The following is a 27,783-nucleotide window of genomic DNA, read 5'->3' on the forward strand; positions in this document are numbered from 1 at the left end:
CAAGGACAAAACACAGCAATCCAGCTATGTGCACAGCAAATCCTTGGGGAAAGCACTGGGAGGGAATATGCCAAAATACTCATAGTAGTTGGAGGTGTGTAATGATGGGCTAGAAGGTGACTTTCTTATTTTCTGAATGTTCTGAAAGTATATTACCCTTATAATAAAAAACTTTATTTAATAAAAAAAATTCCCCAAACCACAGCAGGAACAATTAGGTATGACAAGAGTGGGAGTGTTTTTCTTTGTAGGGCTGAGATACACAAAGGAAGCGGGAGAGGGCGGAGCGCCACCAGGAGGCTGCGGGCGTGGAGCGGGGACAAGGAGGGGTCGGCTGTCTGAAGCAGTCAGGCTCAGTCCCAGGGTGGCTGGGCCTGGCGTCGGCCATGGCCACTGCCACCAAGGGCAGACAGGCGGGGCAAGGGCTCTTCTGGGCCATACTTCTGGATCTCCAGGTCAGGGTAGACGGGAGAGATGGGGCGGACTGGAGCTTGCTGGGTGGAGTAGGGCTCGGGAGTCTCTGCACAGGGAGGTCACCTCGTGGCTGTGCCCCAGGACTCTGCCTTGCCTGCTCTTGCACTCAGGAGCATCTTTGGGGGACAGCCCCCCACCCCACCCAAAGTCTCCTCAGTGGGAGGCAAGGCCCCAGGCCCCAGACGAAGAGCAGGCAGTGGTGTCCTGTCCCTTGGGCCCCAGCTCCGGGCTGCCCTACTCCATTTGTCTCTAAGGCAGATTTCCATGTCCCCCTCCCTCCCTGGACCATGTGGCCTGCAGGGGCAGGGCCAACCACACTGGCAGCAGTCACAAAACAACAGACTTTAATGGAAATCATGAAGGAGGGAAGCGGGCGGACCGGGAAGGGGCTGAGTGACATCGCCCATGCCGCTCCCTCCGCCAAGCCTGAGCAGCTCCTGATGCCACCCTCTCCTCACACTCCCCAGATCTTTTGGCAGGAGGGCAGAAGGTTGGAGGCCCCTTGTTCAGCATGCCTGCAGTGAGCCCAGTGAGGATGCGGTGGTAGAAACGGAGCTGGGGCAGTAGAGTGGGCTCAGCGGGAGTGAGCAGCAGGAGGAGGTGTTGTTTAAGCCAGAATGATTCCCAAGTTTCCCCAAGGAAGGGCTGTTTGTCTCCTGGGTCTCGGAGGAGTGGGGATTGGAGGAAGTCAATTGCCCCCAGTGCGGGCCTGGTACCATGAAAAGGGGCACAGGGTGGGGGAGATGCCAGCCTGAGAAGGACAGGTGTGAGCTTGGTGGCACTGTGGTTGTTGGCTTAAGGGGGAGGGGAACAGAGTGCCCTGCTTGTGCCCAGAGTGGTGCTTGTGGGGTTGACCAGAAATCCCCAAGTCCCCTAGCGCCATCCCCTGCTGAAGTTGTGCCTGGGCTGAGCACCTGGTCTACCTGTCCCCACCCCGATCCCAGACACCTAGCATCCCTCTATTTGGCCTCCTGTAATGTCCCCACGGCCACCTTCACTGCTTGGAACACAGCCCAGTCCATCTAGGAAAAAGAGAGAGGACAAAGCATTTTCAACTACATTCCTGGGCCCACCCGCTGTCCCCCACCCTACTTAAAAGGAATACTCTGGCCAGATGCGGTGGCTCACACCTGTAATCCCAGCACTTTGGGAGGCCAAGGTAGGTGGATCATTTGAGGTCAGGAGTTCAAGACCGGTCTGGCCAACATGGTGAAACCCCACGTCTACTAAAAATCCCAAAAAAATTTAACCAGGCATGGTGGTGGGCGCCTGTAGTCCCAGCTACTTGGGAGGCTGAGGCAGGAGAATCACTTGAACCCAGGAGGCGGAGGTTGCAGGGAGCTGAGATAGTGCCACTGCACTCCAGCCTAGGTGACAGAACAAGACTCCATCTCAAAAAACAAAATGAAACAAACTAAACAAAAGGAATACTCTGCCCCTGCACAGGGTGGCTGCCTGCTTGGCACAGGGTGGGATCTGCTATGTCCACTGCAGCTGTGGCACAGGGAGGTGGGAGGCTTGGGTAGCACACCCAGCCTGCTGGCCCACATCCCACTCACCTGGGCATAAAGCAGGTGGCAGTCAGGGGGAAGGCTGGGTCCCTGGTGGCAGAGCTGAGCAGAGAGGGCAGAGGTCTCAGGGGAGAGGAAGTGCTGAGTGACGCTGACTGTGCTCACCAGGCCCTGCACCTGTGTCGGGGGGACATGGACAGTGAGGCTCAAGATCACACATCCTCTCCCTGTCCCCCTGGTCCCTGAGGTTCGCTTCCTCTAATGACAACCACCCCCGACCCCTGGCTCTCAGAGAGCAGATTCCTGGATGCACCACTGGACACCTCAAAGCCTGTGGCCAAAACCGGGACTCAGAACTGCTGGAGAGACCCTAAAGTCTCCCTGCGAGCCCCCTGACATCAGCATGCCCAGGAGACCAGGAGTGGACTCTGGCGCCAGTCCCAGTTGGGCTCAGTGACTTCAAGGCCTCTTGGCTCCCCCGTTATCTCTTCCCCACAGCAGCGTGCGGCTCCCTGCCCTGCCCGGCTCTTGGGTATTGAGGGGATGTTGGATGCCTGCGGCCTTGATTGGGTCGCTTCTGCCATCCTGATCTCCCCGCAGAGCCCCTGCCCGCTGGGAAGCACCTGGTGGGGAGCCCCTGCAGGCACCAGCACGGCCTCTCCGGGGGCCTGGAGCAGGGTCCAGCAGCTCACGCCCCACTCCTCCCGCAGGCGCCGCCGCAGCCCTGCATCCAGGTAGCAGCTGCCTGGGGCGCCAGGCTCCAGGGCGCCTGCCCCGGCCGGGCACACCTCAAAGAAGAGAAGGGGGAATGAGCGAGATGGGGAGGGAAGGGCAGGGCTGCAGGAGGATGGGGCATGGACTTTCCAGAGGCCAGGGGTGGAGAAAAGAGCCGAAGGGTCAAGTCTTGAAGGGCAGGCAGGGAGGGCATGGCTGAGTTTGTTTGGGGCTGGGGCAGCTCAGGTTGGCAGAACACACATTTGGCTGGAAGGAGCTTAGAAGGAAGGGATTCAAGGCCCTACAGTTGGGCAGACTGAATCCCTGCTTTTCTGGGGCTGGAGGCCTTTAACAGCCTCTGTGACCTCGGCCCCTCTCCTCCCTCTCTCAATGGTACCCCTTTCTGCAAATCCGAGGGAGACGTCCTGCATAATCCCAGTTCATAAACTGTCTACCAGGACTTCTTCATCTGAAGTCTTTGGAATGGCCAGAATTGTGTGCTAAGTGGTGGATGAGGAGAGAGCTGTGTGTCCCTGGGGAGACAACTCAAAGTGTTCATCAGGGTCTCCCTAAGATTCCGGATGCAGAAAAGGGAAGGACCACTGCGAGGCTCTGAGTGCCAGCAGGTGAACAGGCTTTCCGGCCAGGCTGAGGCCTCTGCAGCAGCCACAGCTACGGGGACCTCACAAGCCTAACCAGAGCAGGGAGCTCTCTGGGCAGGCAGGGACTCGCAGAGGACAGAGGTGCCCAGGGAACATGTGCAAAGGGGACGCCAGCATCGTGCTCCAACCCACCACCAGCCCAATCCACCCCCTTTGGCAAGGACCTCAGCCATTGCCCCTGGGCTTAGGGCTGCAAGATGGGGCGTGGGGGAAGGGAAGGCTGGTGAAGCAAATTGGACCCTAGGGGAGTCCCAGCTGGGTGCCAAGATTCCTTTGCCCTTGGAGATTCAGCTCCATCCTGGAGCTGAGCAGTGTTTCCCAGGCCACCCAGGGAGACTGTGCCCCTCAGCCCTGCCCCGTGAGTCACTGGGTTGGGCCGTAGTGACTGCCCACGGCCAGCCACACCCAGCCCAGAAGAGGCCATCTGTGTGTGGAGGTGTGCTTGTCTGCTCCCCTCTGCGTGTCCCAGCATCTGTGTGTGTATCTACACATGTGTGTACCTGTGGGCAGGAGGGGTGCACACCATGCTGGCCTCTGCACGTCTCCGTGTGTGTGTGTGCCTTGGCGAGGGGTGACACTAGGTGGAAGTCTTTTCCCCAGGATAATGAGGGCTCAGCTGGACTTGGGAACCACGGGGCTGCCCTCGCCTTACCCCTGGACTCTCTCCTCCCCTGCGCCTCAAGCTTCTTGCCTCCAGCCCACCCCATCACCTTCCCCTTCCCTGGCTCCTCACCTGACCCATCTCTCCCTCCACTTCCCTCAGCCCCCTTCCTTGCTAGCCCCTCCGGGAGCATCTCCTCCAGGCAGTCTCCCCTAACAAGATGCAAATACCAAAAGGTGGGCAGCCGGACGGAGTCTCAGAAGGCAGAGGAGGCTGCCTGCCTCCAGGAAGAGCATAGAGTAGTGACCTGGGGCCATGACAGACAGAAGCTCAGATCCCAGCCCTGCCACTGAGCTTCGGTGTTCTCATCTGCCAATGGGAAAGGAGCAGTGCCTGCCTCATGGGGCGGGGGGCTGAGACGGGTAACAGATAATTGTGCCTAAGGCCCTAGCACCACGTCCAGCCTCGGGCAGCTGGTGCTCTCATTTCATCATCGGGTCCAGGCTCTCCTGCCGCAGCCCCTGCCCCTTCTCTGAGCCCCACGGCAGAACTCCGGGTCCCCTCTGCCTTCTCTGCACCTGTCTGTGCGAGTTGGGTCTGTGCAGCTCACCTGAGGGCGTGGGGCAGGGAGCGAGCACATGGGACCGCACACTGGGGTGGGACTGGACGAGCTTCTAGGGCTGGGCGGGGGGAAGGGGAGGGCTCCCGGCTGCCTCCTCACCATCTGGAGAAAGCGGCGGATGCGCTGGGCGTCCTGTGCCCGGAACACGTGCCACACAGTGCTGACCTGGCTGCCCGGAGACCAGAGCCCCTCCCCGTCCAGGCCTGAAAGGAAGTCTGAGGAGGAAAGAGCGCTCAGGCAGGCCCAGGGCTGGTGGCGACAAACACTCACCTCTGTAGCTTGTCCCCGCTCCTGCCTCTGGCCGAGGACCTACCTTTCTGTGCCCGGTGCCAGGCAGGCAGTGGTGTGTCGGCATGCACCAGGATGCTGACCAGGTCGGCCACCTCCACACAGAGGTTCTTGGTCCCCAGGTGTCCCCGGTGCGGGCTCACACCTGCATGGCAATAGAGAAAGAACAGTTAGAAATGGAATCAGAGAGCCAGGCGCGGTTGCTCACGCCTGTAATCCTGGCACTTTGGGAGGCCCAGGCGGGCAGATCACCTGAGGTCAGGAGTTTGAGACCAGCCTCAACATGGAGAAACCCCCTCTCTACTAAAAATAGAAAAAATTAGCCGGGCGTGGTGGTGCATGCCTGTAATCCCAGCTACTCGGGAGGCTGAGGCAGGAGAATTGCTTGAACCTGGGAGGCGGAGGTTGCGGTGAGCCGAGATAGTGCCATTGCACTCCAGCCTGGGCAACAAGAGCAAAACTCCGTCTCAACAACAACAAAAAAAAAAAAAAAGAAAGAAAGAAATGGAATCAGAGAAGCGCTTCAGGCCCCAGGGCCTTGGCACAGACGCTCGTGTGCCCCGAGATGACAGGCAGACAGGCATGGGAGTAGAGACTGGGCAGGAGTGGAGGGACACTCACCATAGGCTGCCCAGAGCTGGGGCTCCAGTGGACGCAGGGCAAGGCCCGGTGGGAGGTAGGAAGCCAGGTTGAGTTTTCCATGGAGGGCGCAGTACTCCGGAAGTGGCAGACTGGCAGCTAGGTTCTCCACCCTGTCAGGGTAGGGGGTCATGCCCAGCAGGCCCAACCTGGGCACCAGAGACCCCATCAAAGCCCCACCACCACCGGGGTAACTCCCAGAGGGCAAACATGAGAGTACCAGGGACCACGGGGTGGGGGTTGGGGGCAGAGGAGGAGGGGAGGGCTGAACCAGGCGGGGCCTGCGGTGGCGGGGAGGTAGGGCTGGCCCTTGGTGACATACACACCTGCTGGTGTCCTCATCCCCCAAAGCTCGGTGCAGCAGGAGGACAGAGCCCTCGTCTGACTTTGGGCGAACTACAGGAGGAGACAGAACGGCCATTGGCCTCCTCAGCCCTGAAGCCCCTGCCCCGGCGGCAGCAACACCTGCTTCCAGCCCCTCGGGGTCACCCTGGGACTCCTCTGCCACCCGATCCCTAGGGCTTGGGCTCCCAGCTCCCTCTCCCCTGTGTTGGGGACACTTACGCTCAGGCCAGGAGAAGCCCTCCCAGAATGTTGTGCTGCCCAGGCTGCTGGGCTGGGGAGGTCCGAGGGGGCTCAGCGCCTGCACCTGGCCTCCAAGTGCCCCAAGAGCTTCTGTCCCCCACAGGTTGCCCTGCAATGTCCTTTGGATCCCTGACACCAACACAGGCTGTGGTGGGAAAGGAAGGAGGCCATGAGGAGAATGGCCAGGGTGCCCGCCATGGCCAGGCAAGGGCGTGTTGTAAGGGCAGTAGAACAGCTCGGGGACAGCCCTCCTGCTCCCCCTGAGCCACTGGGTCTGTCTGGGCCTAGGGACCAAGGCCCCGAGGGGCAGGTGGGGTGGCCAGGGCCGGGAGGGGAGGGGAGGGGTGCCTCACCTGGCCCTGCCTCCAGTGCTCCTGGAAGAGGTGGAAGCCACGCCGAGGGCAAGGCTGGGGCTCCTGCAGCCACAGCAAAGCCCCTGGGGGAGGCAGCCGGGGCCGCACTGGAGAGAGGGGCAGGCCCAGGCCCTTGCGCAGACCCGGGCCAGCTCGAAGCCCCGGCCCCAGGGCTTTCTCCTGGATCTTCCGTTCCACCACCTGTGCGATAATGCTGTCCAGGATGTTGGTGATGCGGTCATCCTGCAGAGAGGGGCACAGGGGCTTAGGACCCACTGGGCCCCACAGGGAGGGCAGGCCCAGCCTCTGGTCCCCTGGCTCCTAGCCCTCCCTCCGTGCCCTCACTCACACTGGGCAGGGCCGGAGTGACGGGGGCGAAGGCCATGTGTATTCGCTCATGGCCCAAGCAGAGTTTGACCGCGGTAGAAGCCAGCAGTTCGCAGAGAGAAGGACAAGGCAGGGGCCCTCGGCCAGCACGGTCCTCTGCTGGGGTCTCAGCGGAATCGGGGGTCTCTGTCAGGGAGGAAGATGGTGGGGGGCTTCGCGTTTGGTCCCTCCTCTTCCCCTCGAGGCCCTCTTGCCCATGCTGCTCTTCCCTCTCTTCCTGGCTGAGCCCACTCTCCCCAGCCAGCATCCCCCACCTCAGCTCTGCTCTGGGTCTCCCCGCTCTACTGCTTTTCCTGCAGGCAGCTCCAGAGTCTCTAAAAAGAGGGGTTCAGAGGGGGGTCTGGCCAAAGAAGGTGTTTGGAGGCATGTCCTGAGGGGAGTAGTGGAGATTATTGGGGGTGGGGGGGAGTTGCTAAAGTCCCCGGAGACTTCCGCGACTGTCCCCTCCTGCCTCAAACTCTGGCCCAGCCTCCCTCTTGCACAGGCCGAGGGGCAAGAGGAGCCGCTCACCCTCTTTGATGCTCTTGGTCCTGTGGGTGTCGCCATTGCAGGAAGGTTGTGGAGTTGGGGGCGTTTTCTGTGTTGATTCCTTCTGTTAAACCCATCCACCACCCCCCCAATCCAACCAGAGATTTTAAAATGGCAGACACAATTCAACAGAACCCACAAGAATGAACAATGGACTCTTGTCAGTCCTAAAATCGTGTTTATAGGAGCAAAATGCCATAGGATATAACATTAGGTGGAAAAAAGTTGCTCATGGACTTCTACCTATGATAGGGTCTATAGTCTACTAAAATAGACAAATGGCTGGAAATAAATATGTCAAAACTAATGGTAGCATTAAGGTCATCGTCATTTTCTTCCTTATACTTGTCTGTATTTTCCAAATTTTCCACAATGGGTATATAACACAGTGTCTGGAACCCAAAATGCATTCAATGAACTATTTATTTTGAATGGATGACTTTTATAATAAGAACATGAACTTCAAAAAACTTTGCAGAATGCACATTGAGCGCCTGCTAGGTGTTAGGTGCCGGGATACTGAGAAGGCGGGCCAACGCTCCACCTGAAGGAACCATGGCCTGGGGACCTGGCCATACCAACAAGCACCTCTAGCATGATGTGGCAAGCGCTGAACAAGAATATGCACAGAGTAGGGTGGATATGCTCCAGGAAGGCAGGGGGTGAGGACCTCCAGGGCATGGAGGTGGGAGGGGCCAGCGCTGGAGATCATGCATGGCTCCTGATCCCCAAGGTGGGAATTAGCCTGATCCCACAGGCTTCTCTCTCTTCATCCCCACCAAGAAAAGGGGGGGCCAAACCCCTGCAAAGGTCAGCCATTTGCAGGCACGATACCCAACCGGTGACATGCCCTGGGTCTTACCTGCTGGCCTGCATCCCCGGGGGCCCATACCCGGGCATCAGCTTGGCAGGGGCAGTGCCCCCGGATATCAAACTTGACCCAGACCTGGTGCATTGCAGTGCTCAGCTCTGCCAAAGCTGGGGGTGGGGGTGGGCAGGAGAGGGAGGTTGGTGGTGAGTGTAGACCAACAGGCAGTCCCGGGCAGCTTGGCCTTGCCAAGCAGAAGGGCATGGCACTGGGGGGAGGGACAATCAGACGGGAAGCTGGTCTCCCTCAGGACCCAACCTCTGCACGCCCCACCCCTCCAAGATGGCTCACCCTGGCTGGAGACAAACTGGGTCAGCATCAGGGAACAGGCAGCGTGCCCGGCCTCCTGCGTGCACTCCTCCGCGGACTGCTCCTGAAAGCCTGTGGGGCAGGAAGGGAAAAGCTGCAGGTCCAGAAATCAAGGTAATCACAGGTTAAGGTCAGAGAAGGTCAGGACATGATACCTAAACCAGGGGACTCAATAGTCCACAAAACTCGTGCTTTCTGGGAAACCTGGGTCACATAGAGACACAGCATTCTTTGCTTGTAGAATGCTACAGACTTTAACGTGCTGAGAGGCTTTGCAGGTCCTTAGGCTAACCATGTGGAAGACAATGTTCTAAAACGTGTCTGACCCTGGAGCTCTTTCTGGTCATCCCTACTGGAACACAGGGAAATTTCAAGCTCTCCCGTGGCCAACTTGAGCCAAGGGAAAGAAAGCTGAGAACTATGAAAAGAACAGGATGAAATCAGAAGACCTGAGTCTAAGTCCTGGCTGCAACACGTTACTAACTGTGTGACCTTGGACGAGTCGCTTATCCTCTGAGTTTTTCTTATCTGGAAAACAAAAGCAGTAATACCCACTTCACAGTGTTACAGCAGGTTTTAAAAGGTGCCAGCTGAACAGAGTGGGAGACACCGAGTGGGCACACTCGCCTTTGTTTAAGGGTGGTCAAGGACGCAGGCATGGTCCTCTGATCTGCAGAGAGGGGAAGTCTGCTCTAAGGGCATTGAGCCATGGTGGCTGAGGCTGGGGCTGTGCAGTGGGTAGGGGGCTTTTTGGGGAGAGGCAGCCAACGAATGACCACAGGCTTGCAGCAGTCCCCCTGAGGGCTCCATCCCGCCCTCCCACCCCCAGCCCCTCTCCTACCTGCTTTCTCCCTGGCCCGCCCAGTGCCTGCCACACGACCACAGGCCACACACAGCCGGTGGCTGCAGCGGGGACATCGCCAGTGGGTGTTGAAGAGTCCATGGTGGCAACGGCTGCAGCAGCGTGGAATGCCTGGGCTGTCCTCTGTCACGGCTGGCCCTTGGCCTGCTGACCACGGAGAGAACAGGGTCAGAGGGTGAAGGCAACAGGCCCCAATGGAAGGCTTCACGTGGGAAGGATCCAAGGAGGGGCAGGAGAAGCAAGGAGCAGCTTCCATGGAGAGGGCCCCCCCAGGGAAGGGAGACAGGCCCCTCGACAGCTACCCCCTGCTTACTCCACAGCCCTGTCGAGAGCCTCCTTGTAGAAACTATCCTCTCCAGCAAAGCCTTCCAGGGACATTGGAGGCCTCAGCTCCACCATTCCTGCCCCACACCCAGCTCTGCCCCCAGGGACTTCCCCACTGGCCCTGAATTATTAATCCACACCACTTCTAGCACATTCTTTCCTCCACCTCCTTCCCTCCAAGCCCTAGGTGCTACCAGAAGTGGTAACCATGCTCAGGTGCCATTTCCTCCAGGAGACTTTGTTGTCGTTGTTTTGAGATAGGGTCTCACTCTGTCATCTAGGCTGGAGTACAGTGGTGTGATTACAGCTCACTGCAGCCTCCATCTCCTGGACTCAAGTGATCCTCCCACCTCGGCCTCCCAAAGTGCTGGGATTACAGGCATGAGCCACCGCGCCCAGCCAGGAGTGGGGTTTTCTAAGAACCAAGTATGAGACTAAGCCATTGTTGGTAGGTGGAAAAGGTGTCGCTGAGTACAATTCAACGAACGCCTTGCCTTTGGGTGCAGGGGCCTCAGAGGTGGTTAGGACTTGCCCCTGCCTCGCAGTGCACACATTCCAGGTAGGGAGATGGACCCATAAATACAGCGATGACTGTGGCACCACGAGGCGGGTGCTGGAGATGGAAAATGCCAGGGAAGGGTGAGGATGGGAATGCGGGAGAGCTTCCCAAGTGGGCCCCAGAGGATGAGTAAGTTTTCATTCACCAGGTAGAAAGGGAGGAGCAGGGCATTCCAGACACAGGGACAGCCAGTGCCAAGGCCCGAGGGGATGACAAGCTCCAGGGAGCCGGGAAGGGAAGGATGGATGGCGTGTGTGCTGGGAACCCAGGCTGGGAGTGGCAGGAGCTGACAGGGAGCCTGCTGAAGATGCACCAAGGGGCCTGGCCTGTCTGGGGCAAGAGGGAGCCCCGGGGGTCTCCACCCAAAGACTGACCAGCAGCCTTTGGTCATGAGGAACTCTCTGTGCTGCGGAAGGGCGACCGAAGGGAGCACCTGCAGCCAGAGGGGACCTTAGCCCAGGTCCTGTCAGCCCTCCAGGCCCGGGAGCTTCGCCTGACCCCCAAGCCCTCAGGAGCTCCCCCACCTCCCAGTGCCTTGCAGATACTTGGCACTCATTCTTGTTTTCCCAACAAGCCCAAAAACTCCCAGAGAACTGGGCTGTACCCAGTTTGACACCTTCCTGATGTCCCCACCCAGGCCAGGGGCTCTTCTGAGGTTGCCTTAGGTCTAGGAGCTGGCAGTGTGGGTGGGGTCAGGGGAGGGACACCTGGGGCTCCCCACACAGAGACCCCACGCAGACCCAGGAGGTCCTGTTCACCTTCCCGCTGGGCCCAAGCCAGGGCCTCCCGCTCCCTCCGCAGCAGGCGGCACAGTCGGTCCCCCAAACCACTGAGCAGGTGCTTGGCGAGGCCTGTGCTGAGCCGGCTGTCAGGGCCGGACCCTGGGCCTTCCTCAGAGCTGGAGTTGGTGGCTGTGTCTTCCTCCTGCTGCAGCTCCCCTCCCAGAGGCGATCTGGAGAGAGGGCAGGGGGAGGTGAGCAGGGAGCCCTGGCGAGGGGGCACTGGAGGTGTCCAGGGGCAATGGCTCACCTCCGCACTTGCTGAGAGTGGCAGGCGTGCCCTCCTCCCTCTCCAGCTGCCTGGGCACAACTTTGGCATTGAGCCAGTTTTGCAGGGAGAGCCAGGCATGGTATGTCCTGAAGTCCCGGGTCCTGGAGACTGGCCTGGCCATCTTGGGGTCCTGAGGGGACAATGCAGAGGTCAGGAATCTGGGTTTCTTGGGCTGCTGAGAACCCCATTCCTCACCTTAGCGCCCACCCCATCCACACTCAGAGCCAGCCCAGTTCCTCGCCCCAGGTCTCTGAAGCCTAATTCAGAACCAGCAAGAGTGGACCAGGCAGCTGGAAGGCTCGCACGCCAGGCTGAGCAGGGAGTCTGAGGATGCCGTGACATGGACCGGCAGCCGAGCGAAGAGGTTGTCTGGTGTGTTGAGCCCAAGGCTTTGGGCAGCTGGGGCGATCGTCCTGACACAAGTGCAGGATCCAGCCAGTGTAGACTTTGGATAGCTCCACTGAGGGCTTAGTGATACCACTGGCTGCGTGACATGAGGAGACAATCCCAACGTGGACGGAGGGCGCCGGAAGGTGAGAAGGGCCAGAGAGTTTCGACACAGGCCACAGGTGCAGTAACCCAAGAAGGCGAAGGGGCCAACAAATTCCCAGCCAGGGCAGAGGCCTGGGCAGAGGGCACAGACAGGCCCATGCCAGGTGCAGGGCATTTGGGCAAGGCCACGGAGAGAGCTGATCCACACCCAGCCGTCCAGGAAGCTGAAAAAACCGAAGTGATCCCAAAGAACTAAGGCTGGAGCCGGCAGTGCCAGGGTCCTCCGTGGAGGGCACAGTGTAGCAAGTGACTCCAGGGTGCGCCCAGAGCCCTAACACTGGCAGAGTCCAAACTGAGTCTCCAGCTCCACCTGGCCAAGAGAGCAGCCATTCCTGGCGCAGGACAAGGGATCCTTCAGGACAAGCAATCCCCAAACAGGGATTTGTGGCACACGCAGTCATCACGGTGAACATTTACTGAGTGTTCACTGGGTGCCAGGAATTCTTCCAAGCCCTTGCTATGAATCATTCTAGCATTTAACTTTTGCAGCAGTCTTCCTGAGGTAGGTGCCGTCTTCTTCCCCATTTTATAGATGAAGTAACTGAGGCCCAGAGAGGCGAAGCAACTCATCCGAGGTCACACAGCTACCAATCAGCAAAGTCAGGGACGAGGCACTCTGGCTCCAGAGCCATGCTCTGAACTATGTCATTATACTGCCACCAACACACCAGGGCTTGGGAGGAGACAGAGGTAGAAGATACTTGCTGGAAGGCTCTGGCCTGGAGATGCTGAGGAACTCCCAGAGAGCCCTCGTGATCCAGGTGGGAGCCTGACCACTGGTTGTGGTCCACTCATAAAGCCTACAGACCCCGCCCCATGCGAAGCCCCAGCCCCGGCTGCCCCCTCCCACGCAGGGCCTGCAGCCCCTCCTGGCCCCCTTACCTTTCTGCTCATCATGCTGTCCCGAGTCCACATCCTTGTTCCCTATCGATGTGTCCCGCACCTCCTGCCAACCCCCAGCCCCCTGTTCTGCAGTGCCTGGAAAAGGGTCCGGTGGCCGCTTGGGGGCTGGACTGCCCATTGCTCCCTGGACCTCGGGGCTGCCTGCCCTTTTGAGGGCCCGGAGCCGAGCAACCGGCCTCTCCTCGACCTCAGGGCAGCCGCGTGGACATTCAAACTGCTCCGAGTGCCGTGTGAGCCATGTCTTCTTCAGCTTGGTGTGGTGGCTGGGGGGACAGGCCCTGGGGCCAGAGGCCTTGTTCACTTCCTCGCTGGGTTCGCTGGCTCCACTGGCACCCCCCTCCAGGCCCTCCTGGCACTTCCCACAAGGGCCAAGACCCCCACCTTTAGTGGGTGGGTAGGATGAACAGCAGCCCCGCTGGGTGACAGGCGGCTCAGGAGAGGGGCACCTTGGTGTTGCTGGTGGCCCCAGCTGGTACCCAAGGTTCCCATCGCCTGGCCCAGCCCAGACGTTGCCAAGAGTATGAACAAGGCCTGGGGGACAAGCGGGCCAGGAGGTCCAGGGCACAGTGTCTGGCTGCCCCAGGAAGAGCGGGCAAGGATTCTGCTGCCGGCCAGCTCCCATCTCTCCATCCCTCTGGTGCAGTGAAGGGCGTTCGGCCTCCCCGGCTCTCTGCAGGTGCCCACCAGAGTTTAAGCCAAACAACCCAGGTTCCGCAGCTGCCAAGGGCTCCTTTGCCAACCTGGGAATGCTCGGATCCTTGTAGTAAAAGCCCTAAAGAGGGGAGAAAGTGTTACGCTTCAGCTGACTTGGGCTCCCCATGCCTAAATGGATGGGCAGAACTGACAAGCAAGAAGGAAGGGGAGAATACTGAAGCCCTCACATTCTGATTAATAAACAGCACTGCCCTAGGTCTCTGGAGTGCCTCTGACACTGTCCTGGCAACCCCCACCTCCTCCCCCAGGATTTCTCAGACGTCCCCACAAGGAAGTCTAAGAACTAAAGAGTGAATGCCTGGCACAGCCAAAGGGCATCTGGGGTCTGTTTGGGCCATTTGGTGTCCTGTGCCATACTGAGTTTTAAGTGTTTTAACATCTCATCCCTGGGAGTGGGAGTCATCTATGGAGGAGGTACCCTAGACATGGGCCATGGGGTCCCCTGCACATCCCAGTCTCAGATAGAGGGCCCTTGTCTGCCCACCCATCTCCTCCCAGGACAAGCCACACATTCCAAGGCCACAGTTCCCAGGACCTTATCCTAGGCAGACAATGGGTGAGTCAGTGGCTGCAATGACCCGAGGGCAGGGGAGGCCTAGAGAGATGGAGCTGCTCAGGGTAGGGCTTGCTTGGGGTTGACTGTGGGGCCTGGGACAGCTCCAAGCTGATAGACCCCTCTACCTCGGTGCTGCCTTCTCTTTTCATCACAGTGGAAGGGCATCTTGGGGACCACCGAGCAACTTTGCTAGGCCAGAGCCACAGGTACCCTCTCTGCCCCTGCACTCACCTTGCTGCCTAAGCTGAAGGCAGAGGGCACTTTGGGCTGGCCCCCGGAGTATACCCAGGGGTGCGGGGTCAGGGGCCAGTCACATGGATGCTCTGGGGGCAGGCCAGACACTAGGTAGGGTGGCAAGCAGGTGGGCACCCAGAAGGGAGCTCGCTCCAGGATCTTGGTCTCCAGAAGGAAAGGGCAGTGCCAGGGCCGGAAGGCCACAGGGTCACTCTTGAGATGGCCACCACTATGCTCAGGCATCAGGGGGCCACAGCGAGGTGGGCACGCTGGCCCGCAGAATGCCAGCGGATGGGTAAGCATGGCCTCCTTCCAGCGCAGTCCCTCTTTGCTGCCCAGCCAGTTGACCTTCCTCTCCCCATTCTGGGGGCCCTCGCCCTCCACAAGTGGGAGCATGTCCTTGGGGCCCTGGGGGAAGCCAGGGGGAAGCCAGGAGTCTGGGGTGCTCAGGACGCCCCTCCAAAAGGGAGCAGGCTCTCCCAGGCACAGCGGCCCATGGTGCAGTCCATCTCGAGGCGGGCTGCCGGGCTCCTGTCTCACGATGCCGTTCTCTGGGGCCGTCTTCTCCCAGGTTGGGGTGCCCTTCAGGAAGCTGGGCGTACTCTCCATCACTCTCCTGCCCTCATGGGGCTCTCCCAGAGGGGGGTCCCTGGAGCATAACCATCAAAGCATGAGCTTCTGGGGCACATGTCCCAAGCACCTTACAGCCTGGCACAGAGTGGGCACCGCCCTGGCAACACTGAGGCAGCTCAAACCAGTAAGGCAAGTGCCAGCCCACAACTGGGCACCATGCTGCCTCTCCACATGCAGCCAGACACATCTTGCTCCTCCAGTGTGGGGATGTTACCCCTTCCCCAAATTCCACCTGGGCCAGTGCCCCTCAGCGGAGGCTGCCATTGCTAGTAGGGCATGTCCTGGCCTCACCAAGCTAGGAATCTGCTCACGACCCATGAGGGAGGACAGAAAGTGGAAGGCACTGAATGAAGAAAAAGGCTGGATCCTGAGCCTGACTCTGTCCTATGCTGTATGGCCTTGGGCAAATCATGTCACTCCTCTGGGCCTCAGTGTGCCCTTGAGGCTTGGGTCGGCTCAGAGGATTCTTCCCATCCTGCAATCCGTGGTTTTGGGGGTGCTGCTAGCCCAACCCTAGCCTACAGCCCCAGCCAGGCTTGTAGCCGTGGGAAGTGCAGGCCTGGCAGGCTGGAGTCGCTGGGGAACGCTGCCAGCCAGGGCCGCTGGCTGTGTCTCTCTCTACACCTGGGCGGCCCTGAGTCAGCCTCTTCCCAGAGCCCTGCAGTTTCTCGGCTTCTCAAGCAGAGTCCCAGGACAACTGCAGGGGGCTAGGAACCCCGCCCTGGCCCCCAGCGGGAAGAGCGCGCCGGCACAGGGGAGGGGGATTAAGAAGCCTCAGCTGGATGGGTCAAGCTGCCCTAGCCCAGCCAGCAGTGCCAGGGCAGCCGCCACCGCCGCTGGAAACTTCAGCCTGGCGGGGAGGGGAGAGGGAAGGAGGCGGGGAAAGCGGGCTGGGCCCCAGAGAGAGGCAAGGGAGGGAAAATTGAACGTGCGTGCAAGGGACCAGGATGACAGGTGGCACTAGAGCGGCAGCGCTGCCTTGGCGCGGTCCCTTCGGCCAGAGCGACGAAGCCCCAGGCGGGAGGTGACGGCGCAGTGGCAGAGGGCGCCCAGGTTTTCTGGAGCCACCGCTCCGCCGTGGTCTGGCCGCGTCGGGCTTCCTAACTTTCAGGTGTCAGAATGTGTGGCCCAGCCCACAGGGGCACGGGGAACACGCTCCGTACGGGCACCGCAGGCTCGGCTCAGAAATCCCCCGCCACGAGTGTCCCCAGACGGCGCGCTCCTGGCGCTTACCTGGGCTTCACCGGCCGGTCGCGGCGCGGGCGGTGGCGGTCGTCGTGGCCGGCACCGGGCGCCTGCTCCCCATGGGCCAGCTCCGGGGCCTCCCGGCCGGCGGGCGAGGACGCGTTCTCCCGCTCTGTCTGCTCAGCGCGCTCGCGCTCTCCTTCCCCCGGGGCGGCGGGGGCGCTCTAGGGCCGCAGGTTGGAGGGGTCGGACTCCGGGATCTGCAGGATGCGGCACACGGCGCGGATCGGCCGCACCAGCTTCTGGGCCGAGGCCGTAGGTTGCGCCATGGGACGCCGAGACTCCGTGCTGCGCCGCGGGGAGGGCCGGGCCGGGGCTAGGGAGCGGGTGCCCCCGGAGGGAGAGAAGGCGCCGGGCCGGGGGGAACACGCGCCCCGGGTCGGAGATGGCCGAGTTGGGGGAAAGGCCGAGGGGCCGGGGAAGGGGGTCGTGCCTGGATGGTGGGGGCCGATCCTGGGACCCAGGAGAGAGGCACCGGCGAGGGCGCAGCACCGCGCAGCGCGGCTAATGGAGGTAGAGCGCGGCGGAGAGCGCAGCAGGACCTCTGATCGCCATCGCCAGAAGCGCAACTGAGAGTGGGGAAGCTGCTCCGCCGGTTTCCTCCTCCAGCACCCTGCGGGAAACAGGAGCCCGTGATTCGGCGGCCGCGCCTGGGCCTGCCCCCTCCCGGGCCCCGGGGGCTTCCGCCAACGCCCCGGCGATGCCACCGGCTGCGCACGGGGAGAATGAGCCCTTTGTTCCCCCTCCCCCCCGCGGCACCCGGGCGCCTGCCGAGAGAGGCTCCCCCGGGGCAGCGTGCCAGCTTCCCAGCCGCCCCACCCTCCCGTGGGCCCGGCCCCGGAGCCTGGCAGGCGGGCGGCACCCCCACTATAGGTGCCAAGCCCGGGAACTGGAGCAAAGGGCGGGAGGGGCCGGACCAGGCCACGGTTGGGCGGGGTGCCCCCCAGGGTGCTAGGGCGGGGCGGCTGGGAGGGGGCAGTGCCAGAGCTGGCAGGGGCAGTCGAGTTCTCACGGGTCAGTGATGGGCGCTCTGGCCCACGCCAACCGGGCTGTGCCTGCCGGGCCACTGGCTCCTGGTCCTCTCCATCTGTGGCACATGGCACGCCCCACTGGCCTGTGTCTGCCCTGCCTCATCCTCACCTGGCCAAGCTGCTCTTTGCCATCTTCCACCCCAAACCCTTCCCAAACCTCTTCCAGAGCCCAAGGGCACAAAGGGTTGCGTCCTAGGACCTCTGGGAGGGCCTGGGCTTGGGTCTGTCCCTGGTCTAAGGGCCTTGATTTTGCCAAATGTCTGGAGAGGTCATGGGCCCAGATGAGCTCCGACACCGGCTCCAGACCCCGGGCTGTGAGGGTCTGCCCCATCCCCAGGGTTCCTGGTGCTTCCAGGCCAGGGGCTGGAGAGGCGCCCATGGGAGTGGCTCCCGGGAGAGTGCAGAGAGGAGGAGAGGAAATGGAAAAGCAGGGCACCCTCCACCCGAGGAAGCATCCCGGCTCCGCTGCGGGGGTGGTTCCAGTGCAGACACAAACAGACAGATTCAAACACACACAGACAGATTCAGACTCACACAGAAACCCACACGCCCAACGGGCGCTTCCCTTCCCCTCAGGCACCCACCTCCCACCCTCGGCTCCCCTGCCTCCCTGCGGAAGCCAACCTTGGCCTGCCTGGGACAGAAGCTGCACTCCCTCTTTCCCATCCCTTGCAAGCGATGGGTTCTGGATGCCTCTAGCTTGGTCCCAAGTCACACCACCATCCCTGCAGAGGGGAGCCCTGAATAGCCAGGAGCCTTCCTCCTAAGGGATGAGCAAGGCCTAGAGCCTTCTACCGGTTGAGAAGAGTGGGGGTCCTGGGGAGCGGGGGTCTAAAGGAGCGGGCACTGGGCCGGACTTGGGCCATGTTGGCATCCATTCACCCTGCCCCTGGCCTGCCCCCAGAGGCCAGTTCTGTGGCAAGGCAGGCTGGTAGGGGTTGTTTACATGACTGAGTTAGTAACACTCCCTTCCTCCCCAGCTCCCCTGAGGGTGGCTGGGACCTGAGTGTGCCAGGGGAGATGCTTGTAGAGGGTCTAACATGGACTGGAGGCCCCAGGCCCTGAGGCCCGGCCTCCCACTCCCAGGCTGGCTCCAGGGGTGAAGGTAAGGGCTGGGGTGTGTCTGTGGTCCCCCATCTGTGTTCTCTGTGCTCCCTCCTCAGCAGCCGAAGCTTGTGGGAGTGCCAGGGGGAGATTCCTGCGGCTTGGGGCCTCGGAGAGGCCAAGATGGGAGCCTGCGCTGTCCAGAACCCTGAGGACCTATCGCTGACATCCCCAAAGGGGATGGGGACTATCCCAGGGGAGTGGGGCAGATATCCCCCCCAACCCCAGTTGCCATGTCTGCTTTGTCAGGCCACGGTCCCTGGACTAGAGTAGCAGGGCTCTTGGGGACAGGCTCCTGAAAAGCCCAGGGGCTCGTGGGGACTCGCGGGATGGGAGGAAGGACCCCTTCCCCACCCTCGCCCAGCTCCCCATCCCGCTTTGGAGCCCATGCCACAGGCCCACAGAGTCCTTGTAGCCGGCTGTTCTGTGCCTGAAGACGGAGCAGAGCTGAGGAGACACACAAAAGACACAAACACAGAAGAAAAGCCACACGGCGCGTGGACACAATGCCAGACTTGTGGACAAAGGCAAGCTGACCAGCACCCCCAGCCATTCAGGGGCCAAGCCCCAGCCCCGCACCGACCCCTGGCTCACTGACACACACTCACTCGCTGACACACGCTCGTGCTGACGGGCACAGCAGCACTCACGAGCCGGCGGCCCTCATGCCATCCCCAGAGCCCCTTACCTGGGCAAGCACAGTGCCCCCCGGGCGGAGCAGCCCCCGGCCCAGGGGAGGGCAGCAGGCGGGGGCGGGGGAAGGAGCCCCGGAGAGTCAGGCCAAGCTGCCACTAATCCGGGCGGGGAGAGGGGGGGCACCCACGTCAGAGCGGGGACTGCCGGGTGGAGGGCATCTGAGGACATCCCCTCCCACACACGCGGCCGTCTGGGCACCTAGCCCTGCTTCCCCAGCCCCTCCATCCTTCAGACAGCTGAGGCTGGCCTCCCCCCACCCCACCCCCCACCCTGTGGCAACGCCTGGTGGGGGATGGGGAAGGGGGAATACCAGGCGAATTCTCCCGGGACCCGCGGGGGTGGGGGCAGGGTGTGGGGAGGAGGGGAAGGGAAGTGTGGGGATGCGTTTGGAACCCGGAGGAAGCTCCAAAGCAGATGCCGCCATCCCCTCCCGCCCACCCACCTACATCCCTAACCTAATTCCTCTTCTCAGTCTGCACCTCCCAGTGCGCTTCCTCCTCCCCCCACCTCCCCTCCCCTCCAGGTTACCCCCACAAGCTACCCACCGGGGAGAGGAAGCCAGCTCCACTCTGCCCTGGGCTTGAGACCTTTGTGCCTACCCGGAAACACCAACTGTGGCCCCCAGGACTTCTCCAGCAGCAGAGAATCCTCCTCCTGCCCAGGCGTCTGCCCCCTACCCAGCTCTTGAGACCTCTGGTCCCTGATGCTGGGTAGAGGATGGAGCCAGAGGCTGAGTGCCACCTCCTTAACCCCCTCAAGGTGGAGGGCAGTGCCAACCAGGATGCCCCAACCCAGCCTGGGCCAGGGCTGTGTCAGAACTAGAGGCTAATCAGTGACAGCTAAAAATACAGCCAGTGCGTGCGGCGCACATGGAGGCTGGAGACGGGGAAGGGGACCAGGACACGGAGGGCCCCAGGCCTAGAGGGACAGTGATGGGGGCTGAAGAGTCAGGGAGGGAGAGGAGCCACCTGGAAGGGCCAAGGGATGGCTGTGGGTGGAGAGCAGAGAGAAGAGAGGGGCAAGAACAGAGGGCGATCCGCACCCAGAAACCAGGGTGGATATGCAGGAACCCCTCAAAAGCAGACAAGCTGCAGGGGAGGTGAGGAGTGAGACCAGGGCACAAACCAAGTGGGGCAGGGGCCAGGACCCAGCAGAGGTGTGCAGCTCTAAGGGGACTGGCTGTGGCAGCTTTGTGTCCCCACCAGCCCTGATCCTGCTCGTGGCCCACTGTCTGGTGGCGAGAAGAGGGTTGGGGGTGCTTAGGCAGGCTGGCATGCAGCCTCCTCTTCCAAGAGAGGCCAGGCCAGAGGGGGTGGAGGGTGAGACAGTAACCCCCTCCAGTGTGCAACTGGAGGCAAAGTGTGCAACTGCTGGGCAAAGGTGAGGTCTCAGGGGTTCTCAGAGAGGCAGGGCTGGCTCTCAGGGAAGCCCAGTTGACAACCAGTGCCCTGAGCCTCCGGGTCCCATGTGTGCTCACCCAGAAATGCCCCAGAATTTGGACTTCTCCTGGCTCCTTCCCCTCTGTCCCCAGCATGTGTTGGAATTCATACAACTGCAGTCAGCCGTTCACCAAACCCGTGTTCTAGGGGCCTTGGCATGTTCAAGGCTTGGCGGTGGGCCCCAGGCGATGCAGGGCACAAAGGCAGAAATCACGAGGCCATCCCACCCGCCCGGCCTCCCCCACCCAGAACATATGGTCACTTCACGCATTTGTTCTTTCACCAGCAAAACTCCTCCAGGCTTCTTAGGTATTGGCCCTGTGCTGGGCGCTGGGGGTGTTGGGCTTGTTCATGAATGATTACAAGATGCTTCTAGTCCCACCCTGGGGAAGTCAGGGGAACTTCATGGAGGAGATCAGAGAATGAGATCAGGACTTCACCACCCAGTCGCGAAGTTACAAAAGTATTTCACTTCGGTTAGACCATTTGTTCCAGGCTGAGCTACAACAGTGTGTAAAATACGTCTGTCCTTTATGAAGTCACAACACAGTGGGGGAGAAAAGGTCACATGCTCAAGGCAACAACAGAAGTCTGTGCAAGAACAGAGGTGGTGTGGTCCAGACAGCAAACCACTCCGAGGTGAGGGAGTGCTTGCGGAGGGCTTCCAGTGGAGGTGATGTCTCAGTGGGGTTCAAAGGGCAAGTAGAAATGGGACAGAGTTGGATGGTGGAGGAAGAGCATGTCAGAGGCCAGCACGCATAGGGCCACACGGAGCCATGAGACAGTCTGATGAGATGGTGAGGACAAGGCATCGCAAGCTCTGCCAAGGGGCCTGGGTGGCCGTGTGGCCCCCTCCAAGCACCCATCCTAGGAGGGAGGGCAAGTGAAGCCCCCACCCCAGTGAAATCTCCCTCACCACCCCACGACTTCAGGCCTCTCCCCAACTCTTGTTTTCTTTTACTCCGTTTTGTTTTGCCATTCATCATATGCCCTTCTGGGTTTGTTATTTTTTTTTTTTTTCTGGAGATGGAGTCTTGCTATGTCACCCAGGCTAGAGTGCAGTGGTGCAATCTCGGCTCACTGCAACATCTGCCTCCCGGGCTCAAGCGATTCTTGTGCCTCAGCCTCCCAAGTAGCTTGGATTACAGGCACGCGCCACCATGCCCGGCTAATTTTTGTTTTTTTTAGTAGAGACAGGTTTTCACCATGTTGGCCAGCTGGTCTCGAACTCCTGACCTCAGGTGATCCATCCGCCTCAGCCTCCCAAAGTGCTGGGATTACAAGGGTGAGCCACTGTGCCCGGCGCCCCTCTGGTTTTGTTCTCTTGGTTTGGGTACATGGATCCTGCCAGCCCGCCTCTATCAACGCAACTCCCAGGCAGAGGTGCATCAGGAGTCAGGGTCCCCGACTCACAAGCAGCACAATGGTACACAAGTTGTTGTGGCTCTCCAAGCCTCGGTTTTTCATCTGTAAAATGGGTATAGCCCTGTGGGTGCAGTGGCTCATGCCTGTAATCCCAGCACTTTCAGAGTTCAAGGCAGATGGATCACTTGAGCCCCAGAATTCAAGAACAGCTTGGGCAACATAGTGAGACCCCGTCTTTACCAAAAAAATATGGTAATTAGCCAGGTGTGATGGAGAGTGCCCGCAGTCCAAGCTACTCAGGAGGCTGAGGTGGGAGGATCCCTTAAGTCCGGGAGTTCGAGGCTGCAGTGTACTATGATCATTCCACTGTATTCTAGCATGGGTGATTCAGTGAGAACCTGTTTTAAAAAATGGATATAGTCCCTATTTGACAGGCTTGTTGGGAGGATTCAAGGAAATCATCTCTGTAAAATGCCCAGCACAAGGTCAGGCACACAACAAATATTCCATACATGTTAGTCTCCATGTCCTTGCCTCCCAGGCAGGAATCATCTCCTTCACTCTGGTACTGCTTAGTGATTAAGTGCACAGACTCTGGAGCCAGACTGCCTGATTCCAAGCCCTTCTGCTATGTACTAGCTATGTGACCTTGGGCAAATCACTTGCCCTCTCTGTGCCTGTTTTCCTGTTTGGAAAATGGAGACTGTAAGACTAGTGTGTACCCACCCCCCAAAGATCGTTATGAGAATTAAATTAATATATGCCAGGGGCTTAGAGCAGCGTCTGCGTGGGCAGCCACACTCTGGGCGCCAGCCGTTACTACTGCCTGCATCCCTGCAGTGTCTGGCAACATGTCTGGTACCTGCTCGAGGCTCAATAAAGATTCATTTTTGAATGAATTAATGAAGCGATAAGACAACCCCACGATGCAAAGGCAGGCCATGTTGGACGCCAGTGAGCCCCTATACGTGAGAAGCTAAATCACCGCAGCAGATTAAGAGCCTCCCCCAAATAAAACCTGGATAATCCCCACACCAAGAGTTAATCCACACTCTCTGGGGCCACTCCAGGTTACCACCCCATTTCCCCTCTTCTCATCCCACACTCTCACCCACCTCTTTGCTTAATCAATCAAAAGCAGGGAGGAGGAGCAGGTGCAGCAGTGGCAGAGGGGCGCACCCCGGGCATCATGGTGAGACCAGCACCGGGGCAGTAGAGGGCAGAGCTGGGTACCCCGGTTGCCCCAGGGATCGGAGGAGTTGGAGTGGAGCCAGCCAGGCAAACAGCCTTGGTCTCAGGAGAGCAGAGACTCCTTGGATGGGGCAGGCCAAGGACCAGTGACCACAAGCAGCAGGGAGGGCCACTGAGTTCCGCCAGGCCCAGCAGGGCGAGGCTCTGGCCAGTCTCCCAACCCCACCCTCCTTGACCTGGAAGCCGGGGGCAGCCCAGATCCCAGACACTGCTGCCCTCTCGTGGCCACTCCTCAGAGGTGCAATGGTGCCCCTGCGGGTACCTGACTGTTTACAGAACTTAATGTCCCCAGAGCTGCCCCAGGGGGCTCCTTCTTCCAGGCTCCTGGAGGAGATACTCCTCCCCAGGTCTCCTCTGCCTAGCTTCGACCTCCCTATGGGACTAACGTGCTGCCCCAAGCCCCTCCTGCCTGTGCTCCCACTGGTTTCTCTATAGCTGCACCTTCCTGCCAAGGCCTAACTGAAGTTTCGGGTTCTGACCAGTCCTCTGGACTCGTCCCCACTTTCCCATCAGTGCTCTCAAAACTCCCCAAAAGCTCCTTCGTGAAACCATGTGCTGCATCACAACTCTCTGTCAATGGTTCTGTCTCCCCCAGAGGACTGGGCTCCTTCAGCCTTAGACCTAGGCTAGGACTGGGCTGTCCCATTTCAAGGGTGTGAGGCGAGCAACGGGAGTAAGAATCAGGAGAAACAGAGCCCCTTTATGTATTTATTTATCAAAACACTCGCAAACCTGACCTCACTCACCAACACACACACACACAACCAGGACACATGTGCCAGGCCTTATGAAAGGCTATCAAGTACTTTGAAGGACAGGAAGGAATGAACACACCCAGGTGGACGTTTGGTTTCATTTGCAGGGGTTCAGGGAGGGTTGCAGGGGTTCAGGGAGGGCTCTTGTCCCACAACCGGGGAAGGGAGAGGGCAGAGCAAGGCAATAAATAGAACCCTGGGCCCAGCCTGCTTTGGTACATTGTGGGTGCATCCCTGCATGTGGCCTTGGCAGCATCTGCTCCCGGCCCTTAACCATCAGCAGGAGTCAGGAGGGTGGGGCCCAGGCAGCTGGTGCAGGCAGGCCAGATGTGCAGCCCAAGGTCCCTCCAAATAGCCCTGGAGCCCTGCAGGGCACGAGGTAAGAAGGGGGCAGATGCAGCAGACCCTAGCTGTCCACGTCTGAGGGCACAGTCTTTTTCCTCGTCCGAACCTTCAGGGAGCGCGAGGTGCCCTGGGGAAAGGGGAGGCACAGCATGAGGGTGTGGGGAGCACCAGCCAGCAGAGCCCTCCTCCCTCCTGTCGTCCTCCCACACTGACCTCCCGCACCGGTGGCTTCCTCTTGACCACACGCAGGCTCTGGCTGCGGATTAGGGGCTTCTCTCGGGGCCGGGCTGGCGCCCGGGGGACTGCCTCAGTATCTGACCAACACTCATCCTCGGTGTCGCTGTCCTGCAGGCCCCCGGCCCGGTACCCTGTGTGGAGGAGGAGGTGAAGCTGAAAGCCTGCGACCAGGCCAGCCCTTCCTCGAGCCTTGGGGGAAGCCATGGTGTGAGTGAAGGAAGCCATCCCTCCTGGCATGGCTCTGGGCCCCTCTGCCCGCTCACCAATGGGTGGCCTCCGGTGGGACACCTGGTCCTCCAGGTAGAGGGGGTCATGGTAGGCAGGGGCAGGTGCGTCAGAGATGGAGCGCAGGTCCTGCATGGAGAAGCTCCGCAGCCTGCCGGCCAGCGCCCCCTGACTCTGCGAGGGGGAAGAGGCTTCAGCGGGGAGGCTGCCCAGGGATATTGGCCAACCAGCTAATCACCGGAGCTGAGACGCAGAAGTGAAAACTGCTCAGCAAGCTTCTGGCCCCGCGCCAATGTGGCACCAACAGGAAACCAAAGTCAGAGAGCAGGAGCCGCTGCTTACGCTCAGTGCCAGAGCCAGGAAGGAAGGTCTGACTCCAGCTCCACGCTTCTGCCAATACCCCCCCGTCACCTTCTCACCCCTGCTCCCCGGCTGCCATCTCTGGGCTCCCTGGCAGAGGAGCTGAATGAGCCCAAAGGGCCTTAGGGGTGGGATGGGGGCTGCTGGAGGGCTGGGGGCCCAGAGCACCTTGGTGGCAGCCTGCACAGCAGCGGAGGCGGCAATGTTGAGGCCCCGCTTCCCGAAGCTGAGCACGGTCTCGTAGCTGCGCTCCTTGGCCTGCACGATGTACGCGTCGATCTCCTGTGGACCCAATGGGGAGGAGAGCTCAGGTGGACAGCCAGAGTCCCTCTTCCTCTGCAGATTCTGAGAAGCCACTGGTTGTGGCGCCACCCAGCCCAGCCCAGCCCCACCTGGTGCCCAGAGCCACAAATCCGGGCCACAAACACAGACCAAGAGCAGGGCTGCCACCCGCTCACACCTCCATGAGTGGCCATGCTCCAGCTGCCGCCACCACTACCCCCAAACCAATTTCCATCCTCAAAGGTCATTCATGTGTACCCCCACCTGATTATCCCAGAAGATGAGGTAGGCTGGGCCCTGTCAAGGTCCTGCCCCTCAATAGCAGCAGGACTGGGATAGAACCCCGGTGTCCCCAGCATCCTAAATCCCAGGTCCAGGGCTCTTTCCCTCATACCCACCCCTAAGCCTCCCTTCCCGCTTCCCCCTGGGGTACCTTCTCATGGCGGGACAGGGACGGGTGGACAAACTTGCGGTAAAGCAGGCTGGCGCCCTTGGTGTAGGGTGAGAGCAGCCACAGCACGAAGGCCATCTTGATCTCATAGTAGAAAGGGAACCTGTCACAGCACAAGGGGCAGGGTGAGCCAAGGAGCAGGGCTGGGGGGGCCACCCCTGACCCATGGCTTGCGGACCCTGCGTCCATACCAGGAGATAAAAATGTCTGTAACGATCTCTGCTGCCATGAAGAGTGCAAAAACAATCCAGTACATCATCCACCGCACCTGTGGGGTGAGCGCCCAGAGGTCAGCATGGGGCCTGCAGCACCAACTCCCAACCCAGGCCAGCCCAGCCCAGAGATTCCAGGGAGCCTGTCCGGCTGCATAGCTGCTTTCCCCCACACATGGCTGGACAGGAGCTCTGAGAAACTGCTGCTCATTCCTATGCCCGCCTCCAACAAGCTTCACCCACCAGATCTTCCACAGGCACCCCGATGGCCTGCCCTCTATCTACACCCTCTTGAACAGGGCCCATTCTCTCTCCCTCCCCACTCCACTCAGGATGTGCCACACAGCCTTGCCCCTGGAGGAGGGAGAGGCCAACTGAGACCCTCCCCACCTCACCAAGTCCTATTAAACACACCCAAACCCCCACGCTCACATATTCACGAATGTTCTTGGTCTTCACAGCCTTATAGGAAGCATAAGCTGGACACAGCATCCCAAACACCAGCCTGGAAGAGCAGCCATGGGGAGTGTGAGGGGCACCATGCCCCACTCCCACCTTGCCAAGTGGCCATTTCCCCCCACTGGGGTGCAAGGTGGCAGTACCCGCCCTGTTTTTCTCGCTTGGCTTGTACAACCCGTGCCTGAGTCAGAGCCCTGGAGGCCACCTCCCCACCCTGCTGTTTACAAACATCCCAAGCCTGCCCAGGCCTGCACCGGTGGCCCATGGGTGCATGATGGAGTGAGAGGACAGCCACTCCACGAAGTGGGTGAGAACACCAGACTGTCCCCTCCCATGGGCATGCAATCAGGCCCAGGGTCACCAGACCTGACACTGCTGGGTTGCAGATAGGGCTATGTGAGCCAGATGTTGGCATACTCAAAGGTGAGGAATAGGATGGTGAGTCATGTGACTGCTCAGATGGCAAGCAGGCACCTGGATTCTCCGCCCACAACGTGCCATATCACCTTGTGTTTGCCAAGGGGCAGCAAGGTAGGCCTGTGGCCCTCGGCTCCACGCATCTGTTTGCAGTGTGTGTGGCGTGCGGCAGGGGTCGTTCTCAGCCAACGAGGCTTGGTGGGGCGGGTAGCCTGCGGTGCCCCAGACACCGCGTGCAAGCCCACAGGTCCGTTAACCCTTGCATGGAGTGCTGGAGGGTGGAGCTCAGAAAGTTCCTCCTCCCACTAGACGTCCACAGCTTCCACCACAGGGGCGGGACGGCACCCCGGGGTAGAGGAGGTCTGAGGGCGGCCATACTCACACCACCAGGCGACAGATCATCCAGGACACCATCTTGCCGGCCTTTGGGACGTGGGGAGGACCCCAGGAAGCCGCTCAGAAGGACGTTCACTCAAGGGCTGGGACGGGGGGTGATCAGGGCAGTTGCGGGAAGCAGAGGGGCGATCCGGCTGTCCCTCGGCGGAGGCAGAGCCCGCCGCCCACGGCCTCCGACTGTGCAGTTCAGGGGACCTGGAGAATGGGGAGACCCGAGGCAAAGCGGCCCCGGCGGGGAGGAAGCCGACTTGGGAGCGGGCGCGCCCCGCGGCCGGGGCAGTTACAGCTCCCACCCGCCCTTTCTGCCGCGGAGAACCTGGCGCTCGGCCCTTGCTGCTGGTCCCGCGCTGGAGCGGGTCGCCGCGGTTCCAGCGCGCCGGGCCACCAGCACCGGCCTACAGGGCGGAGTTCGCAACTCACTTGAAAGTTGCACGGAACCGAGTGCTGCCCAACCCCAGGGCTCCGGCTTGCCACGCAGGCGCAGTGTAGCCCCGGAGGGGGCGGGGCGAGGTCAGGGAGGCGAGAGGCCGGCCCCTTAAAGGGGCGATGTGCCGCGGGACTCGCGCGTGGGGCCCACAGTGGAGC

General features: G+C 60.6%; 3 protein-coding genes across 6 annotated transcripts, besides 10 other annotated features; all 3 read right to left on the reverse strand.

The window, feature by feature from the left end:
* Nucleotides 153-16,786, reverse strand: HR (HR lysine demethylase and nuclear receptor corepressor). 2 transcript variants are annotated; one of them, NM_005144.5, is made up of 19 exons: nucleotides 16,162-16,744; nucleotides 14,293-14,944; nucleotides 12,771-13,563; nucleotides 11,316-11,466; nucleotides 11,045-11,238; nucleotides 9,383-9,547; nucleotides 8,524-8,613; nucleotides 8,227-8,342; nucleotides 7,347-7,428; nucleotides 6,799-6,962; nucleotides 6,450-6,692; nucleotides 6,076-6,241; nucleotides 5,838-5,907; nucleotides 5,494-5,624; nucleotides 4,898-5,017; nucleotides 4,684-4,799; nucleotides 2,609-2,773; nucleotides 2,034-2,162; nucleotides 153-1,496 (listed from the first exon to the last, which is right to left on the reverse strand). In NM_005144.5, the coding sequence occupies exons 2-19, from the start codon at nucleotides 14,902-14,904 to the stop codon at nucleotides 1,434-1,436; spliced, it is 3,570 nt and encodes a 1,189-aa protein (NP_005135.2). In that variant the 5' UTR covers nucleotides 14,905-14,944; nucleotides 16,162-16,744; the 3' UTR covers nucleotides 153-1,433. The 2 variants fall into 2 exon arrangements, with proteins under 2 accessions (NP_005135.2, NP_060881.2); NM_018411.4 differs by lacking the exon at nucleotides 2,609-2,773 and having other exon boundaries at nucleotides 16,162-16,786.
* Nucleotides 752-1,414: an enhancer, noted in NCBI's record as "H3K4me1 hESC enhancer chr8:21972531-21973193 (GRCh37/hg19 assembly coordinates)". NCBI's record gives its function as "activates a minimal SCP1, AML or CMV promoter by ChIP-STARR-seq in primed H9 embryonic stem cells {active_cell/tissue: H9 hESC(primed)}" and the evidence as "EXISTENCE:reporter gene assay evidence [ECO:0000049][PMID:30033119]".
* Nucleotides 6,095-6,297: a silencer, noted in NCBI's record as "fragment chr8:21977874-21978076 (GRCh37/hg19 assembly coordinates)". NCBI's record gives its function as "represses an EF-1alpha promoter that drives an FKBP-Casp9 reporter gene in an ReSE screen in phorbol 12-myristate 13-acetate-treated (for megakaryocytic differentiation) K562 erythroleukemia cells {active_cell/tissue: K562(+PMA)}" and the evidence as "EXISTENCE:reporter gene assay evidence [ECO:0000049][PMID:32094911]".
* Nucleotides 6,636-7,135: an enhancer, noted in NCBI's record as "H3K4me1 hESC enhancer chr8:21978415-21978914 (GRCh37/hg19 assembly coordinates)". NCBI's record gives its function as "activates a minimal SCP1, AML or CMV promoter by ChIP-STARR-seq in primed H9 embryonic stem cells {active_cell/tissue: H9 hESC(primed)}" and the evidence as "EXISTENCE:reporter gene assay evidence [ECO:0000049][PMID:30033119]".
* Nucleotides 10,112-10,613: an enhancer, noted in NCBI's record as "H3K4me1 hESC enhancer chr8:21981891-21982392 (GRCh37/hg19 assembly coordinates)". NCBI's record gives its function as "activates a minimal SCP1, AML or CMV promoter by ChIP-STARR-seq in naive H9 embryonic stem cells {active_cell/tissue: H9 hESC(naive)}" and the evidence as "EXISTENCE:reporter gene assay evidence [ECO:0000049][PMID:30033119]".
* Nucleotides 10,614-11,113: an enhancer, noted in NCBI's record as "H3K4me1 hESC enhancer chr8:21982393-21982892 (GRCh37/hg19 assembly coordinates)". NCBI's record gives its function as "activates a minimal SCP1, AML or CMV promoter by ChIP-STARR-seq in naive H9 embryonic stem cells {active_cell/tissue: H9 hESC(naive)}" and the evidence as "EXISTENCE:reporter gene assay evidence [ECO:0000049][PMID:30033119]".
* Nucleotides 15,346-15,923: an enhancer, noted in NCBI's record as "H3K4me1 hESC enhancer chr8:21987125-21987702 (GRCh37/hg19 assembly coordinates)". NCBI's record gives its function as "activates a minimal SCP1, AML or CMV promoter by ChIP-STARR-seq in primed H9 embryonic stem cells {active_cell/tissue: H9 hESC(primed)}" and the evidence as "EXISTENCE:reporter gene assay evidence [ECO:0000049][PMID:30033119]".
* HRURF (HR upstream open reading frame) lies at nucleotides 16,192-16,744 on the reverse strand. Its single transcript, NM_001394132.1, has one exon. The coding sequence runs from the start codon at nucleotides 16,440-16,442 to the stop codon at nucleotides 16,338-16,340; it is 105 nt and encodes a 34-aa protein (NP_001381061.1). The 5' UTR covers nucleotides 16,443-16,744; the 3' UTR covers nucleotides 16,192-16,337.
* On the reverse strand, nucleotides 23,754-27,641 carry REEP4 (receptor accessory protein 4). 3 transcript variants are annotated; one of them, NM_025232.4, is made up of 8 exons: nucleotides 27,185-27,641; nucleotides 26,359-26,431; nucleotides 25,906-25,982; nucleotides 25,697-25,817; nucleotides 25,150-25,263; nucleotides 24,660-24,795; nucleotides 24,373-24,527; nucleotides 23,754-24,286 (listed from the first exon to the last, which is right to left on the reverse strand). In NM_025232.4, the coding sequence occupies exons 1-8, from the start codon at nucleotides 27,214-27,216 to the stop codon at nucleotides 24,221-24,223; spliced, it is 774 nt and encodes a 257-aa protein (NP_079508.2). In that variant the 5' UTR covers nucleotides 27,217-27,641; the 3' UTR covers nucleotides 23,754-24,220. The 3 variants fall into 3 exon arrangements, with proteins under 3 accessions (NP_079508.2, NP_001303894.1, NP_001303893.1); NM_001316965.2 differs by lacking the exon at nucleotides 24,660-24,795; NM_001316964.2 differs by lacking the exon at nucleotides 24,373-24,527.
* Nucleotides 25,414-26,022: an enhancer, noted in NCBI's record as "H3K4me1 hESC enhancer chr8:21997193-21997801 (GRCh37/hg19 assembly coordinates)". NCBI's record gives its function as "activates a minimal SCP1, AML or CMV promoter by ChIP-STARR-seq in naive H9 embryonic stem cells {active_cell/tissue: H9 hESC(naive)}" and the evidence as "EXISTENCE:reporter gene assay evidence [ECO:0000049][PMID:30033119]".
* Nucleotides 26,023-26,630: an enhancer, noted in NCBI's record as "H3K4me1 hESC enhancer chr8:21997802-21998409 (GRCh37/hg19 assembly coordinates)". NCBI's record gives its function as "activates a minimal SCP1, AML or CMV promoter by ChIP-STARR-seq in naive H9 embryonic stem cells {active_cell/tissue: H9 hESC(naive)}" and the evidence as "EXISTENCE:reporter gene assay evidence [ECO:0000049][PMID:30033119]".
* Nucleotides 27,395-27,544: a silencer, noted in NCBI's record as "silent region_18980". NCBI's record gives its function as "represses an Ori minimal core promoter by ATAC-STARR-seq in GM12878 lymphoblastoid cells {active_cell/tissue: GM12878}" and the evidence as "EXISTENCE:reporter gene assay evidence [ECO:0000049][PMID:35858748]".
* Nucleotides 27,555-27,684: a silencer, noted in NCBI's record as "silent region_18981". NCBI's record gives its function as "represses an Ori minimal core promoter by ATAC-STARR-seq in GM12878 lymphoblastoid cells {active_cell/tissue: GM12878}" and the evidence as "EXISTENCE:reporter gene assay evidence [ECO:0000049][PMID:35858748]".

This window comes from Homo sapiens, chromosome 8, assembly GCF_000001405.40.
Source record: "Homo sapiens chromosome 8, GRCh38.p14 Primary Assembly".
Lineage (NCBI taxonomy): Eukaryota > Metazoa > Chordata > Mammalia > Primates > Hominidae > Homo > Homo sapiens.